Here is an 18,766-nt window from a genome sequence, read left to right on the forward strand (position 1 = left end):
TGCTCACCTGTGGGGGTTACTGAGGAATACAAGATGCCTGTGCACAGCGGAGCTCAGGGATCCTTTGAGGACAGAAGCCTGGCGCAGCCTTCTGGGGCCAGGGTCCTCTCATAGGGTTTCCCTCTCTCCAGATGAACGATGTGCTCCTGTACACCTATCCCCAGAAGGATGGGAAGTACCGGCTGAAGAACACATTGGCTGTGGCCAACATGAAGGTAAATATCTGGTGCCAGGTACCCCCGGGTTGGGGGACAGGGAGACCCCAGGGGAGAAGGGGACAGCATCCTGCTCCCAGGAGCACCCAGACCAGCTGGAAGAGGGAGGCCCTGCGGAAACAGTGTTGGGCTACAGCAAGTTTGTGCTGTAAGTTGCCCAGGGAAAGGGGAGGGGGATGGAGGGCTTCTTGGAAGAGGAGACTGAACCCTTAGAGTGGATAATATTTGGTCGGATCAGGAAGGAAGGGAAGGAGGGGCATCCTATGAGGAGGAAAATGCATAAGGAAGGGCCTGGGTTGGGGGAACAAGCAGGTGGTTGGTAATTTTTTTAATTGTGATAAAATACACATATCATTTTAAAAGTAACCATTTTTAAATGTACAGTTCTGTGGCACTAAGCACATTTACATTGCTGTGTATCCAGCACCACCATCCATCTCAGAACTCTTTCCTCTCCCCAGACTGAAACTCTGCCCACATTAAAAACCAACTCTCCATTCCCCTCCTTCTCAGCCCCTGGCACCTACCATTCTACTTTCTATGTCCATGAATTTGACTACTATGGGTACCTCGAATGAGGAGTCACACAGTATTGATCCTTGTTTCACTTAGCACAGTGTCCTCAAGGTTGATCCCTGTCATCTGTAGTATGGGTCAGAATTTTCCTTCCATTGTGTGGATAGACCACATGGTGTTTATTCAATCCTCTGCCGATGGACACTGGTGGCTTCCACCTTTAGGCTGTTGTGAGTAATACTGCTGTGAATATGGGCATATGTGTGGGGCTTAGCTCCGTGTAACTTGGTCCTGAAGATGGGAACACTTGGGAGCTGTTGGGGACTTTGAGGAGCAGGAGGTTTTAGGAAGTTAATTCTGGTGCAACAGGAGGCTGAAGTTAGAGAGGGCAACACTGAGGTGGGACAGTGGAGCCGCAGGCGGTTGTCATTGTCAAGGGCAGAGGCAGGGATGGCCAGGAGAGCTGAGAGAGGCACTGTGCAATCTCTCTTGATCCTGTAGGCTCTTTACCATGGGGAAGGGGAAGGAGGAAGCACCTTTCTCAGCATGGAGGTTTGTTCCCTTTTGGAACCAAAGGCTCCACCGAGGAGCCTGTTAGAAAAAGGCATGGGAGACGTGGTCACTGGCAGGTACTTGTCCAACATGACAGTGCACCTGGGGTTGCCCGGGCTGGGCCCTGAGCATGACGCTCTGCAGCCTTCCCAGCGGTGGGTGAGTGGCCAAGAATGATGGAGCTGGCAGCCAGGCACCTTCCACAGCACCTACCATCACAGAAAGGTATGCCCTGAGGCTAGAGAACGGCAGTAGGTGGACATGGTCCCTCTGTTCATCTGCTGCCAGGAGAAGCCGGTCTACACTTGCCCCTCCCTGCCCCACCCTGAAGGAGGCTGCTGTTGGTTTTCCAGGTCAGCCGCCCTGTGATGGAGAAAGTGCCCTACGCTCTAAAGATTGAGACTTCCGAGTCCTGCCTGATGCTGTCTGCGAGGTACGGGCAGGTGGAGGGAGGATGGCGCACAAGGCAGAGGTGTGAGCATGGGAAGGTTCAGAACAACAGATAAGGATGTGCTGTTTTTATTTTGGTATCCTTCTGGGTCAAAGTATCCTTCTGGGTCAAAGGACTTTTTTTCTTTTCAGTGTTTCTTAACCTTTTGGGGAATTTGATAAAAACTTTTCTCCCCCCAAAAAATGTACACACTCATAAAATTTTATATATAACTTCAGGGGTTTCTAGAGCCCATGGCTTAAATATGGCAATAGCAATGTCTCATGTTTGTGGAGCTCTTTATGGATGATTGGGTCTCTACAGCAACACGAAAAGTTAAGGCCAGTAAAAAATGTATTGTGTGCTGCTGTTCATAAAGTGGCCTGCCTTTTTGCGTTCCTGTCTAGAAGATGAGAGAAAAAAAATAATAAGTGAGCGTTCATCACTTATGTTGCCCTGTCTGTGTGGTGTCTTAGTCCATTCAGGCCACTATAACAAAAATACCAGGCCGGGCGCGGTGGCTCACGCCTGTAATCCCAGCCCTTTGGGAGGCCGAGGCGGATGGATCACAAGGTCACAAGATCGAGGCCATCCTGGCTAACACAGTGAAACCCCGTCTCTACTAAAAATACAAAAAATTAGCCGGGCGTGGTGGCAGGCACCTGTAGTCGCAGCTACTCGGGAGGCTGAGGCAGGAGAATGGCGTGAACCGGGGAGGTGGAGCTTGCAGTGAGCCGAGATTGCACCACTGCACTCCAGCCTGGGCTACAGAGCAAGACTCCGTCTCAAAACAAAAACAAAAACAAAAACAAAAATACCATAAACTGAGTGACTTATAAACAACAGAAATTTCCCACAGGCTGCAGGTCAGGAAGTCCAAGGTCAAGGCACTGACTGATTCGGTGTCTGGTGAGGTTCTGCTTCCTGGTTCAAAGACGGTGCCTTCTCACATAGACAATGCCACCTCATGTGGTGGGAGGAGCAAGGGTCTCTCTGGGGCCTCTTGTATAAGGGCACTAATCTCATTCGTGAGGGCTCCACACCCATGGCCTCATCACCTCCCAAAGGCCCTGCCTCCCAACACCAGCACCTTTGGGAAGAGGATTTCTGCATTTGAATTTGGGGGGACACAAACATTTAGACCACAGTGGGGCATGGCATTTCTATCAGAAAGGTCTGCATTTTCTCCAGGCCCTCGGGTTGCCTGGGATCCTCATCTCTGGCTTCAGACCATGACCTTAAAGAGCATCCCCTTTTCCTTCTTTCAGGGCAAGGTAAGCTCAAGCTCTCGGGGGCTTGGAAACCAGGGAGGTATGCCTCCAGCCAAGAGTAGCTCTTCAGCCAGGGACGTGCATGGCAGGGGTCAGCAAGGCTTCTGGGGCTTGGGTGTCTACTCTCAGCAAGCACATGAGATGGGATGGCAGCAGTGCCTATCACATGGGGGTTTATCCTGCATTGGGCGGTTCTGAGTGTGAAATGGGATCTAAATGCACTCATGCACATGCACTCTCATAGATGCATTTTCTCATTAAAATCATTTATTAGGTGGGGCATGGTGGCTTATACCTGTAATTCCATCAATCTGGGAGGCTGAGGCTGAAGGATTACTTGAGGCCAGGAGTTTGGGACCAGCCTGGGCAACATAGTGAGACCCTGTCTCAAAAAAAAAAAAAATTTAAGCATTTATTAGCCACACCTCAGTGCCAGGTCTGGCAACAATTTAGCCGTTGTTGTGCTCTCCAGGAGCCCACATTACAGGTAGGAGAGTTGTAAACTGCTTCAGATGCAGGGCAGTAACTGCTGTAACAATTAATAGTGGTAATGACAGCAGTAACAGGCATTGGACACCTGTCAGGCCCCAGACGCCGCCGTGATCCTCATCACCACCCTTAGAGCTGGGGTTTGCGGCTCCTTCCATGCATAGGGAGTTGAGGCTTGCAAAAGGGTCACACAGCCAGGTGAGGTGGAACTGGAGTTTGAACCCAGGACTGTGTGGACCAGAGCTCTTATCTGTTACAGTCTACTGCATGAGGGAGTAGAAAAGGGCTTGGAAACCCAAAGGAGGGACTGCCCCATCTGGAGGAGTGAGGGAATGCTTCCTGGAGGAGGTGATGCCTGGGTGGGGGTCGTGGCCTCACCTCTCCTTGTGATAAAATCAAGGGCAGGAGGCTGCCAGCAAATAGTTTCTGTTAGTCCGGCCATGACTTGAGGGTGGTGACGATCCACACGTGGGCCTTCAGGTGGGGCTGCCCATCTCCCAGGGCAAGGACAGTGGCCTTTAGCATGCCAGTCACCTTCCTGCTAGTCCAGACCCTTCACACTTGAAGCTCCCAGGGGACCGCAGGACCCATTCATCACATTTTAGGGACATGGTGTCTTGCTGCCCACAATGCTGATTCAGCCTCTGCCCTGCAGCACTGCTCCCGCCCAGGCCAGCGGGCCCTTATGCTTGCTTTCCGGGGCAGGCTGCACACTTACCTGTGGTGTAGGCGCGGCATCTAGTGGACACTGTGAGAACTTCACCCAGCTAGCTGGCACCCAGCCCAGGCGTAGCTCTTGCCACTCAGGAAGCCCTCCCTGGTGCAGAGCAGGGACTTGGAAAGTGCCTGTTGGATGACTGTCTGGGAAGCTATGTGGGGAGATGAGGAAGGTGGGAGACACAGATGTTTACCTTTGCCAGCTCCCACCTACCCCTCATCCTCCACAGGTACCCAGCCCTCTGTCCCCTGCCAGCCCGTTTCTCCTGAAGTGTGGGACCCTCTGGGCCTTCCTAATGTCTCTTGCTTTTGCACAATGTTGACAATGTGGTTCCACGTCCCACATCTCCCTTCATCCCCACAGCAGCCCTGGGAGTTAGGGGAATATCATTATTCCAGTGTAAGAAGAAACAGACCCAAGGACAGCTAATGGACCAGTGGTCTGCTCGTAAACCTAGTCTGGCAGGTGATCTCTTCTTTGCTGGTGGTTCTGGGCAGTGTGAGAGGTGCAGGCTCAAGGGGCATCTGAGTGAGAACCTCATCCATGCCGAGATGGAGGGTGGGAGGCAGAGCTGCTCCTGCCTTTGCTCACTCCAGCCCATGCCCGCAGCTCCTGTGCAGAGAGGGACGAGTGGTATGGCTGTCTGAGCAGAGCCCTCCCTGAGGACTACAAGGCCCAGGCGCTGGCTGCATTCCACCATAGCGTGGAGGTGAGTGGGTGGGCAGGGCCCACGGGCCACCAGCTTCAGAGACCTGGGGTTCCCTGGGCGGGCATTGCTGTTGCCACTCACACCCAGATGGACGTGTAGCTCCTGTCTTGGGGCACTGGCTCCCCCCACACCCCTGCCATGCTCCCACCCTAGTCAGGGGCGGCCTCCGTGTAACCTAGGAGCCCAGCACCCACAGTCTTGTTCTCACAGTCTGGCTGTTTCCCAACCAAGGGTGAGCATCCTGGAGGGTGCAGGAGAGGCCTTTCACATCAGACCCACTCACCCACACATCACACACCCTGCACAGAGACGCAGGGCAGGGCTCACTGGGCTCTGCATCTGGCTGGTCTCCTGGCCACATTCCACATTACTCAGCCAATTCTGTTGCTGCAGATACGAGAGAGGCTGGGGGTTAGCCTTGGGGAGAGGCCCCCCACCCTGGTGCCTGTCACACACGTCATGATGTGCATGAACTGCGGCTGCGACTTCTCCCTCACCCTGCGGCGTCATCACTGTCACGCCTGTGGCAAGGTGAGTCGCTGCATCTGGGGTGAGTGTGTGCATGGGGGTGGGGTGGGGGAAGGGCATGTCCCTGCCCAGCCGGGGGCTCAGGGATGTCCAGCAGCTACTGTAAGCCCCAGAGTGAGGCATGTTCACACCAACCCGAGAGGAACAGATTGCTAATTCCCATTTTATAGATCATCAAACCAGAGCTCCAAGTCCCAGGCCTCTTCCACACCACCACGTTTTCAACAGAAAACCGTAGCATACGTGGCTATTGTGCTTGGAGAAAAAAGTATCATGTAGTGGTTAAGGGCGCGGGCTCATCAGAAAAGCAGATAGGCGCTGGCTCAGAAACAAGATGAAGCCTTGCCGGAAAAGTAGGGGACACGCACAGCTCCATGATCAGAACCTGGGGCTCCCTAGGGGCAGTTGTGGGTGGATTAGCAGAGGGAGCGGAGGGGAGGGGTGCAGGTCTCCTTTGCATGCACTGAGAGGGGTGAGAATCTTCCCACCTGGGCCTGCAGATCGTGTGCCGGAACTGTTCGCGGAACAAGTACCCGCTGAAGTACCTGAAGGACAGGATGGCCAAGGTCTGCGACGGCTGCTTCGGGGAGCTGAAGAAGCGGGGCAGGGCTGTCCCGGGCCTGATGAGAGGTAACCTGGGGACCACTTGCCTTCTTCCAAGTGGCCTGGTGGCTTCTCCCCAGGCTCCAGTGGCTTCTCTGTGGTCCATGGTTCATGCCTGAAACCGCTTTCCCTGGAGGGAGTTATTCACTCCATGGAGGGAGGAAACAGAGGTTCGGGCACCATTTTCCAATATGTGGATTCTGTGGAAAATTGATCGGTGTCCCCAGAAGAAGAGCTCTGTGGGTAGCTAAGCTTAGGAATCAGTGTGTGTGTAAGGGGACAGAGGCAGGGAGCTCCTGTGTCCTTTACCATAGAGGCCCTCTTGTCAAGTATCCTATAGGCCTGTGCCTGTAGCGCCTTTCTGGGACTAAGGACTATATAAGCGTGGCAGCAGAGGAGCTGGGGTCAGGGAGGGGTGAAGCTGTTCCACACAGGAGCCTTGGGAAGCTGAGCCGGCCCCTGAGAGACCTGGTCAGTGCTGAAGGGACAGGCCTTGCCCAAGCAGGGTCAAGTTCCCAGGAAGGAGAGCAGGTGTATCTTGGGCCTAAAACTAAAGTCTTTCCCTGGCCTCCACTCCACGGGGCTGGACTAAGGTCATCAGAGAAGACAGCCCAGTCCCTGCTACCTGGAGGCCTGGAGGTGAAGGGCTGTCCAGCGCCCTGGAAAAGCGTCCCCTCCCCAGCCCCCATAGCCTTTGTCTGTTCCTGCAGGAGGGAGGGAGGAAGAGTGCTTGACTTTCAGGTCCCACTTAACCCCCATGGCTCACATTCCTAGAGGGATTTTACAGGAATCAGTGTTCCAAAGACAAGCCGCAGGCACGCCTCTCACCTCCCTTCCATGTGGCTTCTTTCAGTTACAGAGCGGCCTGTGAGCATGAGCTTCCCGCTGTCTTCACCCCGCTTCTCGGGCAGTGCCTTTTCATCCGTCTTCCAGAGCATTAACCCCTCGACCTTCAAGAAGCAGAAGAAAGTCCCTTCAGCCCTGACAGAGGTAAAGCAGGCAGGGCTACCCAAGTGGGAAGTAGGGCATTTGGAAGGTTCATGGTCATCCTGGGTAGACGGAGTCAGACCCTGCCCTGTCCCAGCCTGACCAGTCTCTTCCAGACAGAGCATTCCTAATGGAAGCATCCCAGCTACGAGGACCGACTTGACAGTGATGGTGCTAGGCGACATCTTTCCCATCCTTCTCTCTACCTCTCCCCTCCTCCTCTTTCTTTTCTCTCCTTTTTCTCCTGCCCCATAGCTTAGATCTAGTACCCAAGCAGACTGCACAGATCACGGGGGCTCTTCATTCTAAAGGAGCCAAATTCCTGTGTTGGTCCTTCCATGTCATCCCCTCATCCTAGGGGTCCCAACCCGGCTCAGGTGTTGACGTCCCTGGAGGCCATGGGCTCCGCAGGAAACTTCAGAACTGGCTAAACTCAATTGTATCCCACAAATAGGACCAGATTGTATGTCTGTATTTCCATTCACAACCACAGACCAATGTATGTCTGTGAATACACAAGGAGTCCACAAGTGTGATCAGCTGCTTCCAAGTTAGTCCATTAATATCAAGTAGCAGGTAGCAAGGGTTTAAAAAAGTGTTAGGGAATGGAAAATTTAAATAGGTACAGTTTTATCCATTAACTTGTTCCTTTTGCAAATTAAAAATCTTGGAAATCACACATACGGCCGGGCGCGGTGGCTCACGCCTGTAATCCCAGCACTTTGGGAGGCTGAGGTGGGCAGATCACGAGGTCGGGAGATCCAGACCATCTTGGCTAACACAGTGAAACCCCATCTCTACTAAAAATACAAAAATCAGCCGGGTGTGGTGTCATGCAGCTGTAGTCCCAGCTACTCGGGAGGCTGAGGCAGGAGAATCGCTTGAACCTCAGGGAGGTGAAGGTTGCAGTGAGCTGAGATGGCGCCACTGCACACCAGCCTGGCGACACAGCAAGACTCTGTCTCAAAAAAAAAAAAAAAAAAAAAAAAAAAACACATACATGGTTAAACATTTTTCCCAAAAAAGTACAAAACAGCACATATGATGAAAAGTGAGTTTCTCATCCTTCCCAGCCTCCCTCAATCCCACTGCCATCAAGTTTCTTATGGAACCTTGTGGAAATTTTCATGCACATACATAATACAGATGTACATTCATAGATCTTCTTTTTCTACCCAGAAGACAACATATTATACAGAATCTCTTCTGTTTTCTCCACTTAATTTGTCTTAGAGATCATTTCATAATCACATATATGTATAAACCTCACATTTTTTACATTGCATTCCTCTTTTACTAGTAAGGAAATTGAGACTTAGAAGAAGTCAGCAAATTGCTCATCATTAACCACCTAGTAATTGGTAGAGCCTGAATGGGAAATCCAGGTTGGTATTAACTCCAAGCCTGCGTTCCTCACCACATAAAGCCTGTGGACAGAATACTACTACCCCCCGCCACCACAAAGAGTAGTAATAATAATAAAAGGACTTAACGCTGCACACACCCCACTAGGCAGGAGACTATAATACCTTTTAGGCAACAGTACAAAGAGGATCCCTCCCTAAATGTGAGGAAGAGATAAGTTGAAAGTGCAAGAGTTAATTTTAGAAGGAAGAACCTTTCGCCGAAGTACCTGAACGAAGTTTCTTGAGTTGAGGGGCTTAGGTTGAGAGGGAACCAAGAATCTGAAAAACCACTAGAGGGCAGCATCAGCATTCCCAAAGTCAGCTGGGTCCATTCATTAAATCCTGTTTCTCAAAGCATGAAGCACTATCTTGCTGACTTTGGTACTGGATAGATCCTGAGACCTTATCCAGTGTCAAAGCAGTATAAGTAGTCAGCCAAATGGTTTGCAGTGTCATTTTGAATTGTGCTCTGTTTGAACTGTGCCTGACCACCGGGGTGGGCTGACCGCTCTGCTTCCCTCCTGCCAGGTGGCTGCCTCTGGAGAGGGCTCTGCCATCAGTGGCTATCTCAGCCGGTGTAAGAGGGGCAAGCGGCACTGGAAGAAGCTCTGGTTTGTCATCAAAGGCAAAGTTCTCTACACCTACATGGCCAGTGAGGTAGTAGTGATCTGCACTCTCTCCCCTCTCCTCTCTCCTGTGAAATGACCCCCTGGGGCCTGCACACATCCTGTCACTTGCAAAGCTGTGTGAGTCCTGGCTGCTGAGCCAGTTCTGGTGGCAGTCAAGTCTTTAGTGAGCAATGCCATGTGCTCAATGTTGCTGTGGCTACACAACCACATATCACTTCAAAATCTAAGGAATTTGCAGTTTCTTTGTGGATATAAGAAGGTACGGACATGCCAAGCTGTGCCGCAAAGTGTTTAAATGGCACAGGCCCAGCATCTAGGACAAAGATGGAACAAGCCAGCCATGCCACAAAAGAAAACACCTTCCTACTGTCTGCTTAGATTGCTTGGGGCAAAATTCAGCAGTGTGGAGGAAGCTACTCCCTTTTTGTCTGTCCATTTCTTTTATAGGGTAACTCTAGTAATTCTTCTAAAGAAAACTGAAATCTATATTTTATAGAATATCTTACTTTAGGTGAGAGAGCCTTGGAAATCAAGCTTACTTCCAGAGTAGACAGATGTGTGGCCATGGTTGTGTAGCAGGGTGCTGTCTGGCCCTGACCCAGGCTGAACCTGTTGGATAATGTGAAACATTTCTATCTCCATGCTTCACCAGCTGGTGGCTTCTAGGTGGTCAGGCATAGTTTCAGCTTTGAAAATGGGAGTTAAATGTATTCTGACGAGCTGCAGAGGGTGGGTGCTTTGCTCCACTGGGATATGCATGTCAGGGCTGGCTCTTCTCCCCTGGCCACAGATGCTAGCAAATGTGCAAAAGGCACTTCCTTCTTTGGGGCATGAAGCTTCCCTCTGGAAGGACCTGCAACTGTGAAGGTTGCCGTGTGCCCATTCCCAGGGATCACAGAGGATGGCTTTCTAGAAGAAATTGCTTTGGAGCCATACTTAAACACTTAGCAAGGCCCCACATCTGTTTACTCTAAGCAAAGCAGGCAGACAGGGGATCTGCCATAGGCCTGAGCGGCTTGGGTACCCGGTAAGCTGCACCCCACCCTGAGGGGCCTTTGCCTGTGTCCACAGGTGGGGTCTTCCACACTGTGGGGGATTTTTATCTTTCCAAAACAAACTGAACAGTTGTCATGGAAGTGACAGCATAAGCTTATTTTAAAAGGTGGATTTAGGGGCCTGGCATGGTGGTTCACGCCTGTAATCCCAGGACTTTGGGAGGCTGAGGATCTCTTGAGGCCAGGAGTTCGAGACCAGCCGGAGCAACATAGTGAAACCCTATCTCAACGAAAAATAAAATGAATGAATGAATGAATGAATGAATGATGGACTTAAGTATGACTCCAAAACAGTTTCTTCTAGAAAGAGGAATTTACATAATTTCTCAACCTGTTCCAGCGATGGAATAAAGCTTTCAAATACCATCAAAGAAAAAAAGGTTCTGATGAAGTGGATAGCTGGTTTGCACTGTCTACACCACTGTGCACCCCTATCATGTACCCTGAGGTGGCCCAGAGCTGATGCAACTTGCTATTTAGTAACAGTCCTGGGAAAAAGCGACTATCAAAAATACATAGGAATCTTTATTTTTTCCAACATTTTCTGTTTGTTTCAAGACAGGGTCTTGCTTCGTTGTCCAAGGCTGGAGTGCAGTGGTGTGATCACTGTTCACTGCAGCTTTGAACTCCTGGACTCAAGCCATCCCCCCCAGCTCAGCCTCCCAAGAAGCTGGGACCACAAGTGTGTGACGCCAGGCCTAGCTAATTTTTTTTTTTTTTTTAATTTTTTTTTTTGAGATGGAGACTCACTCTGTCACCAGGCTGGAGTGCAGTGGTGCAATCTTGGCTCACTGCAACCTCCACCTCCCGGGTTCAAGTGATTCTCCTGCCTCAGCCTCCTGAGTAGCTGGGACTACAGGCGCCCACCACCACGCCCAGCTAATTTTTGCATTTTTAGTAGAGACGAGGTTTCACCATGTTGGCCAGGATGGTCTCGATCTCTTGACCTCATGATCCACCCACCTTGGCTTCCAAAGTGCTGGGATTACAGGCGTGAGCCACCACACCTGGCCAATTTTTTTATTTTTTGTAGGGGCAGTCTCACTATATTGCTCAGGCTGTTCTCGAACTGCTGGTCTCAAGTGATCCTCCCACCTTGGCCTCCCAAAGTGTTGGGATTACAGGTGTAAGCCACTGTGCCCAGCCTATTTTTTTCAACATTTTATTCTTTATTATATTTATTGTTTATAAATATTTTCAAACATAAAGGAATGTTGAAAGAATTTTACAGTGAACTAGCCGGGCATGGTGGCTCATGCCTGTAATCCCAGCCCTTTGAGAGGCTGAGGCAGGAGGATCACTTGAGGCCAGGAGTTAGAGAACAGCCTGGCCAACATGGCAAAACCTCGTCTCTACTAAAAATACAAAAATTAGCCAGGGATGGTGGCACGCACCTGTAGTCTCAACTACTTAGGAGGCCGAGGCAGGAGAATCGTTTGAACCCGGGAGGTAGAGGTTACAGTGGGCCAAGATCACACCATTGCACTCCAGCCTGGGCAACAGAGCAAGACTGTCTTAAAAAATAATAATAATAATTTTACAGTGAACTATCATATGACCATTAACTGGATTGTACAATTAACATTTCCTACATTTCTTTTATCAAGTACCTATCTATTCATCCTTCTATACCTTTTACTTTTTGATGTTTTTCAAAATATACTTAACCCTATGAATTCAATGTTTTTGTACCTTTTTTTTGCCTTTTGAGGTCTAATTTATATATAATGAAGTGCACAAATCTCAAATATACTATTTGGTGAGTTTTGATTAATGCACACACCTACAAATTGCCACTATCATCCTGTCCCCAGAGGCAACACCCTGTTCCAATTCTTTTCCACCATAGATTAGTTTTGCCTCTTGATCCTCAAACAGATGGAATCATGTGTGACTTCCATTAACCATGATGTTTTTGAGATTCATTTATGTTGTTGCATATAGCAGTAGTTCACTTCTTTTTAAGGCTGAGTAGTCTTCCATTTTGTGAATATACCAGTTTTGTTTAGCTGTTCACCAGTCAAAGGACATTTGGATTGCTTCTAGGTTTTGGTGATTATGAATAAAGCTGCTTTAAACATTTTCATACAGGTTTTTGTGGGAACATAAATTTTTATTTCACTTGGGTCATTACCTAGGATTGGAATTGATGGATCATAAGGCAGGCATATATTTGGTTTATAAGGAATTGTGAGGCCTTTTTCCAAAGTGGTGTGCCATTTTACACTCCCCCAACAACGTGTGTGAATTTGAGTTCTGGTTGCTCCACATCATTGCTAACACTTGGTGTTGTCAGGCTTTAAAATTTTAGCCATTCTGGTGGGGAGTGTTGAGGTAACTCAATGTTGTTTTAATTTAGATTTCCCTAGTAACTACTGATATTAAGCACATGATTGCTTTCATGTGCTTATTGGCCACTCATATTTCCATTTGAGAAGTGTCTATTCAGATCTCTTGTCCACTTTTTTTAAAGTAGGTTGTACTGTGATTAAGTTATAGGATTTCTTTCTGTATCCTGTATACCAGGCTTTTGTCAGATAAATGTTTTACAAATATTCTCTGCCTGTCTGTGGCTTCCCTGTTCATTTTCTAATGAATGAATGAATGAATCTTTTGGTGAACAGCAGTTTATAACTTTGAGGAAGTCTACTTTGTCAGTGTTTCCTTTTATGACTGTTGCTTTCTGTGTGCTAAGGCATTTTTGTCTACGCAAGCTACAAAGTTATTTTCCTCTATTTTCTGAAAGCATTAATGTTTTAGCTTTTACTTCTAGGTCTATCTCAAATTAATTTTTGTGTGTGGTATGACATGGGAGTTGAGGTTCCTTTTTTTCATTATGGATATCCAGTTGTTCCAGCACCATTTGTTGAAAAGACTTGCCTCTCCCTATTGGATTGCTTCAGTGTCTTTGTTAAGTCTCAAATGATTGAATAAATAGAGGTCTATTTCTGGACTTTCCATTGTGTTTCATTCATATATTTACCAATCCTTATGCCAGTACCAAACTGTCACAAATACTGTAACTTTATAGTAAGTCTTGAAGTCAGGTTGTGTAAGTCCTCCAACCTAGTTCTTTTTTAAGACTGTTTCAAGGCTGGAAAGGTGCCTACGCCTGTACTCCCAGCACTTGGGAGACCAAGGAGGCAGATCACTTGAGGCCAGGAGTTCAAGTCCAGCCTGGCCAACACAATGAAACCCCGTCTCTACTAAAAATAGAAAAAATTAGGGAGGTGTGGTGGTGCATACCTGTAATTCCAGCTACTTGTGAGGCCGAGGCATGAGAATCGCTTGAACACAGCAAGCAGAGGTTGCAGTGAGCCGAGATCACACCACTGCACTCCAGTCAGACTTTTTTTTCCCCAGACTCTGTCTCAAAAAAGAAAAAAAATTGTTTTGGGCATTCTAGGCCTTTTATGTTTTCATATAAACTTATCAATTTCTATGATAGGGATTATGGAATCTATAGACCAATTTGGGGAGAACTGGCATTGTAATATTGAATCTTTCAATCCATGAACATGGTACATAAATTTTCATTTATTTAAGCCTCGAATTCTCTTTTAATGTTTTGTAGTTTTTAGTGTAGACATCTTATACTTCTATTAATATATTTCTAAATATTTTTTTGGATGCCATTGTGAATGGCATTTATTTTATTTTCTAGTTGTTTGCTGCTACTATATACACATAAAAACTGATTATCTTGTGACCTTTCTAAATTGATTTTTAGTTCTAGTAGTTATTTTGTTTTTTTTCTTTTGCAAGCACAAATAGTTCTACCTCTTTTCTGATCTTTATCTCTTTCTTTTTCTTTCCTTAATGTAATAGTTATGGTCTCCAGTACAATGTTGAATTGAACTGATGAGAGTGAACACCATTCTTGCCTTGTTTCCAATTTTAAGGGAAAAGCATTTGGTGTTTCACTATTAAGTATGATGTTAGCTGTAGGTATTTTATAGATGCCCTTTGTTAGTTAATGAAGTTTCCTTCTACTCTAGTTTGCTAAGAGGTTTGTTTTTTTGTTGTTGTTTTTGTTTTTACCATGAATGGATATTGAATTTTGTCAAAGGCTTTTTCTGATCTAGCAATCCTTGAGAATTGATTCCTTTTATTTTAAAAAAATATTTCTTAGTTTTCTGGGGTTTTAGGGATGAGGTCTCACTATGTTGTCCAGGCTGGACTCAAATTCTTGGCCTCAAGCAGTCCTCCTGCCTTGGCCTTGAGTGTAGCTGGGTCTACAGGTACATGCCACTGTGCCCAGCTTGATTCTATTCTATACACAAACCGTACTCCCCTTCTTCTTCCTCCCACCACCATTCTAATATGCTTAATTATATCTCTTTATGTGTTTTTACAAAGTCTGTATTGTTTATGAACATGTATGTTTTTACATAACTGTGTATAAAAATGTCTTTACCTATATATAAAAATCTTTTTCCACTGAGCACTATGTGTGTAAGATCCATCTGTGTTCTTTGGGTATATCTCATCAAATTGTTAGCAACTTTATAGCACAGACAGTGCAAGTGCTCCATATTGAAATACTGTAAATGAGGTTTTGGAAGAATGAGTATAGAATATGTGATCAGAAGTAACTGCAAAACTGAGTCACTGACTGATGAAATCCATGGAAAGAATGTGGGGTTAGAAGGTGGTCATGAGTGCAAATTCTGGATCTGCTCTTTACTGCTGTGTGATCTTGGGCAATTAACCTTTTTTGAGCCTTGGTTTCTTCTTAGAATGGGAGTGACACCTTCTATGATTGTTGTGAAGATTAAATATAATGAAGATGTAACTGCCTGGTCCCTGATAAACTGTCACAATATGTTGAGACATATTGTCTCAACATACGTCACATATGTTGAGACAATATGTGAGACAGAGTCTCACTCTGCCCCCCAGGCTGGGGTGCAATGGTGCGATCTCGGCTCACTGCAACCTCTGCCTCCCGGGTTCAAGCCATTCTTCTGCCTCAGCCTCCCGAGTAGCTGGGATTACAGGCACCTGCCACCACACCCAGATAATTTTTGTATTTTTAGTAGAGATGGGATTTCACCATGTAGGCCAGGCTGGTCTCGAACTCCTGACCTCAGGTGATCCACCCGCCTCAGCCTCCCAAAGTACTGGGATTACAGGCGTGAGCCACCACACCCAGCCAGTGTCGTTTCTTTCCTTCCTCAGGGCTGGCTCTGGGGGGAAGCGAGGGTCAACAGTTTGTGTGTGGTGAGCCCGAAGGTGCCAAAGCACACCCCACACAGAGGCACTCTTCACGCATCTCAGATTGGAGATAACAGTAAATGACTATGCAGAGTGTGGTGTTTAATGTCAATTTTTCCTTCTGTCCTCTGCAGGACAAAGTGGCCTTGGAGAGTATGCCTCTGCTAGGCTTCACCATTGCTCCAGAAAAGGAAGAGGGCAGCAGTGAAGTAGGACCTATTTTTCACCTTTACCACAAGAAAACCCTATTTTATAGCTTCAAAGCAGAAGATACCAATTCAGCTCAGAGGTACGAAAAGAACTAATTAGTCTTATAGCTTTTTGTTCTCTCAGAAGGCAACAAGTTGTTTCTTGGGGCTTTGGCTTCTGTTCTGCTCCATTCATCCTATCCCATTAGGTCCCTTTGGGCCATAGCAGAACTGCAGAACTACCTGTTCTTTGTCACAATCATGTTTAGACTGTTTTGATTCATTCATGAATCAAGGATGCATTGATTCAGTAAGCTTTTGCCCTGTGTTCCAGGCCTTTTGCTGAATATAGAAAACATGTTTGAGAAACAAATACAATTACGACATGGTCCTTGACTTCAAACTAAGAGGAATCTACTAGTCCAGTCTTTTCTAGGTTCTGTGACCAGAGTCATAGGCAGAGCCGCAAAACCAAATGTCCTCCCTGTTTTGTTTTATAGGTGGATCGAGGCCATGGAAGATGCGAGTGTGTTATAGCAGTTATCAAGCATGTGGACTTGTAACAAATTCTTAGGTCAATATGTGAATGCTTTTAGAAGCTAAGCTGTGGCTCAACTCATCCGGACACACACCTGGATTCAGCAATGAGGCCTGACCTTTTTTGCTATAACCGCCCCACCACTCCCCTGCCCTTGCCAACATCTTCATGAATGGAATCCTTAAGGGATATTTATGGACCTCTCCTTTTCTGTGTTTTCCACCCCTACCCCCACCCGCCACCCAGTAATAAACTATTTCCTTACCCCGCAGTGAGTTAAAATTTAGTAAGATGAAGATGTGGAAACCAATGAAAAGTACATTTAGAAATGCAGGCTTTTTAGTAGAAAGAAGCTCTTACAGTTTTTACTCATGATAAATCTTATCACCTTTCAAAAATTGATTGTGGTGCCTCAGGTGAAATGAGAAGCTATCAGTAACAGCTACTCTCATCGAAAGCACTTTATTATTTTACGGAGCTGCAACCTCCAATTTTGTGTTTTCTAAGTGATTTACTTAAGTCAATAACAGATGGAATCCTGTGGACTAATGTGCCACCAGTTTTCTAACAAGGGTGTACATAAAATGGATTTGTGCAGACCTGGCTGTGGCTTGCTGGTGTGCAAGCACACATCACTTTAGAGGGGCTGCGCCCCACCAGATAGGAAGGGGAGGATTTTCTCCTCCAGTCGACCTTGTGACCTGTATACTAACATAACTTATTAAAGGAGGGGTCCCTCCTCCCCCAGAGCAGTCCTCAACACTATGTCAGTGCTGGAAATGCAGCCACTGGCAGATCTGGCCCCCCAGACGTCACCGCAGGGCCTCTGAAGAGTCAAGGTCTGCTTTAATTTATTGTGTGCCTTTCTGTGTTTACCTCACTCAAGCTGACAACATTGTTTATGGGAATCTATCCTTCTTTTAGACACACGGTAATCCTTGGGCTGTATTACTGAAGGCTTTTTATTTTTTGAGAGGTGAAAAAAAGAGAAAACAAGTTAGACTCCAAAGGTGAATTCCTGGTCTTGGCAGATGGCTCTGGGAACAGCGAGGGAGCACAGAAGTCGTGGCCTGAGGCTGTTCTATGGGCACTTGGGGCTAAATCGCCTCCTGAGGGTGACTGTTGCTTATTCTGCTGGACAGGTTTTTACATAAAGCAAAGGGCATGTGAGGGGTGGGATTCCTTGTTACTCTTACTGCAATAAAAATCAATTGTTTGATATCCTGTCCCCATTCTGTTGCTGCCCTGTCCCCTACAAAAAAGGGAATTTGCTGACAAACTTTTTGTAAAAAGCACCATCTCTGGACTTACTTGCATTAAATATTTTCAGGGGAATTTTTTTTTCCAGTTTGCAGTTCTTTTAAAATGTTTGCATTAAACATGTAACTAATGGTTCACACTAAGTGATTAGACAGTGTTCTTGTTAATTTTTGAGGGCTTAATTCCAACTGAATCATTTTCATCATCAGACACTGAAATGGGCTTCCTAGAGCTGTTGAGCAGAGCAGGACTTCAGTACCAGGCAGGGGGAAGTTTCCCCAGTCTGCTCACATTGCTGCCCATGGTCAGTTTCTGAGTTCCAGATAGAATCACGGGTCTGAAAGTCATCAGAAGGCCTCTTTTACTTTATATCATCATCCTATTTTGGATGCTCTGTAAAGAGGTAATAGGGCTTTTATTTCTCAGTGAATAGTTACCCTAATAAAAATGTCTGGGTTATAGATGAAAAACACACTGGATGGGTTTTGTAAAAGGAAACTGGCAGGGGCTCATGTGTGACTGGGCAAGGGATTACCTTTTTATCTGGACCTTGTATTACAAGTCCTTCCTGTGGTTCTTTGTGTACTCATTTCAGGCCAATTTCTGCTACCTTTTCTACTAGGGATGAAGCCATCCCACCCGGTCAGAGGGTGCTCCTTCCCACTGGACCCAGATGCTGGGGATATGACCAGCCATGACACCACGGAGATGCTGCTCGAAGTCCCCCATAATACCTGCTCTGCCCCTCTGCTCACTGGGCACAGAGCAGCCCCTTTACTGTGCACCCCCAGCAAAGGCCATGTTTATCAGGAAGAAGCAGCATAGACGAGCCACTCACTTAAGTTGCTCTGAGCTTTGGTGTCTTCTTCTATTACATGGAGATCATCCTAGCTTCTCCCACAGGTTCAGGGGAAAAGGCACAAATGGAATGTTTGTGAAAGTGGTCTGAAAAGAGCAGGGCCCATAACTTTACTTTTACTTTGTATAATAACACCATGCCCTTCCCCACTGGTTTATCAAAGTCGTGGGCCCTGCTCTTTAACAGCACAAAATGAAGACAATACACAGAAGACCTTTTTCCTTATCCATGAAAATTGGGGCCAGGTGTGATGGCTCATGCCTGTAATCCCAGCACTTTGGAAGGTTGGGGCAGGAGGACTGCTTGAGTCCAGGAGTTCTAGACCAGCCCAGGCAATATAGTGAGACCCCAACTCTAAATTAAAAATCAGCCAGGCATAGTGGCTTATGCCTATAGTCCTAACTACTTAGGAGGCTGAGACAGGAGGATTGCTTGAGCCCAGGAGGTCACGACTGCAGTGAGTTATGATCATGACACTGCACTCTACCCTGGTAACAGAGTGAGATCATGTCTCAAAAAAAAAAAAAAAAAAATGGCAAGGAAGAGAAACCCTAACACAGTAAGGCTGAACTTTGGTCATGGAATCTAATCTTCTC

The 18,766-nt window shown here is 47.0% G+C and overlaps 1 protein-coding gene and 1 long non-coding RNA gene across 8 annotated transcripts in view, besides 4 other annotated features; one reads left to right on the forward strand and one right to left on the reverse strand.

Annotated features, from left to right (window-relative positions):
- Window positions 1-17,454, forward strand: part of FGD5 (FYVE, RhoGEF and PH domain containing 5) — a 123,884-nt gene extending 106,430 nt beyond the window's left edge. For 2 of the 6 annotated variants that reach the window (XM_047447514.1, NM_152536.4), the window contains 9 exons: window positions 132-215; window positions 1,637-1,716; window positions 4,801-4,900; window positions 5,294-5,431; window positions 5,929-6,058; window positions 6,891-7,021; window positions 8,953-9,081; window positions 15,460-15,614; window positions 16,014-17,454. In XM_047447514.1, coding sequence (XP_047303470.1) covers window positions 132-215; window positions 1,637-1,716; window positions 4,801-4,900; window positions 5,294-5,431; window positions 5,929-6,058; window positions 6,891-7,021; window positions 8,953-9,081; window positions 15,460-15,614; window positions 16,014-16,050 — 984 coding nt within the window. In that variant the 3' untranslated portion in view covers window positions 16,051-17,454. Of the gene's footprint in view, window positions 1-131; window positions 216-1,636; window positions 1,717-4,800; window positions 4,901-5,293; window positions 5,432-5,928; window positions 6,059-6,884; window positions 7,022-8,952; window positions 9,082-15,459; window positions 15,615-16,013 lie in introns of all 6 variants that reach the window. The other 4 variants (XM_047447515.1, NM_001320276.2, XM_011533422.2 and 1 more) reach the window with 3 other exon arrangements.
- Window positions 3,230-6,945, reverse strand: LOC105376963 (uncharacterized). 2 transcript variants are annotated; one of them, XR_007095829.1, is made up of 4 exons: window positions 6,860-6,945; window positions 5,184-6,231; window positions 4,192-4,342; window positions 3,230-3,366 (listed from the first exon to the last, which is right to left on the reverse strand). It is a non-coding gene; the product is annotated as an uncharacterized LOC105376963 (long non-coding RNA). The 2 variants fall into 2 exon arrangements; XR_007095828.1 differs by lacking the exon at window positions 3,230-3,366 and having other exon boundaries at window positions 3,596-4,342.
- Window positions 4,009-4,508: an enhancer, noted in NCBI's record as "H3K4me1 hESC enhancer chr3:14962633-14963132 (GRCh37/hg19 assembly coordinates)". NCBI's record gives its function as "activates a minimal SCP1, AML or CMV promoter by ChIP-STARR-seq in naive H9 embryonic stem cells {active_cell/tissue: H9 hESC(naive)}" and the evidence as "EXISTENCE:reporter gene assay evidence [ECO:0000049][PMID:30033119]".
- Window positions 5,024-6,223: an enhancer, noted in NCBI's record as "CDK7 strongly-dependent group 2 enhancer chr3:14963648-14964847 (GRCh37/hg19 assembly coordinates)". NCBI's record gives its function as "activates an origin of replication core promoter dependent on BRD2, BRD4, P300/CBP, MED14 and CDK7 cofactors, with strong dependence on CDK7, by STARR-seq in HCT116 cells {active_cell/tissue: HCT116}" and the evidence as "EXISTENCE:reporter gene assay evidence [ECO:0000049][PMID:35650434]".
- Window positions 7,068-7,247: a silencer, noted in NCBI's record as "fragment chr3:14965692-14965871 (GRCh37/hg19 assembly coordinates)". NCBI's record gives its function as "represses an EF-1alpha promoter that drives an FKBP-Casp9 reporter gene in an ReSE screen in phorbol 12-myristate 13-acetate-treated (for megakaryocytic differentiation) K562 erythroleukemia cells {active_cell/tissue: K562(+PMA)}" and the evidence as "EXISTENCE:reporter gene assay evidence [ECO:0000049][PMID:32094911]".
- Window positions 8,525-8,819: a silencer, noted in NCBI's record as "tiled region #15385; K562 Repressive DNase unmatched - State 12:CtcfO". NCBI's record gives its function as "represses a minimal TATA promoter and a strong SV40 promoter by Sharpr-MPRA in K562 cells {active_cell/tissue: K562}" and the evidence as "EXISTENCE:reporter gene assay evidence [ECO:0000049][PMID:27701403]".
- Window positions 17,455-18,766: the final 1,312 nt, after the last annotated feature.

The sequence above is a fragment of the Homo sapiens genome, chromosome 3, assembly GCF_000001405.40.
Source record: "Homo sapiens chromosome 3, GRCh38.p14 Primary Assembly".
In the NCBI taxonomy this organism is placed as follows: Eukaryota; Metazoa; Chordata; class Mammalia; order Primates; family Hominidae; genus Homo; species Homo sapiens.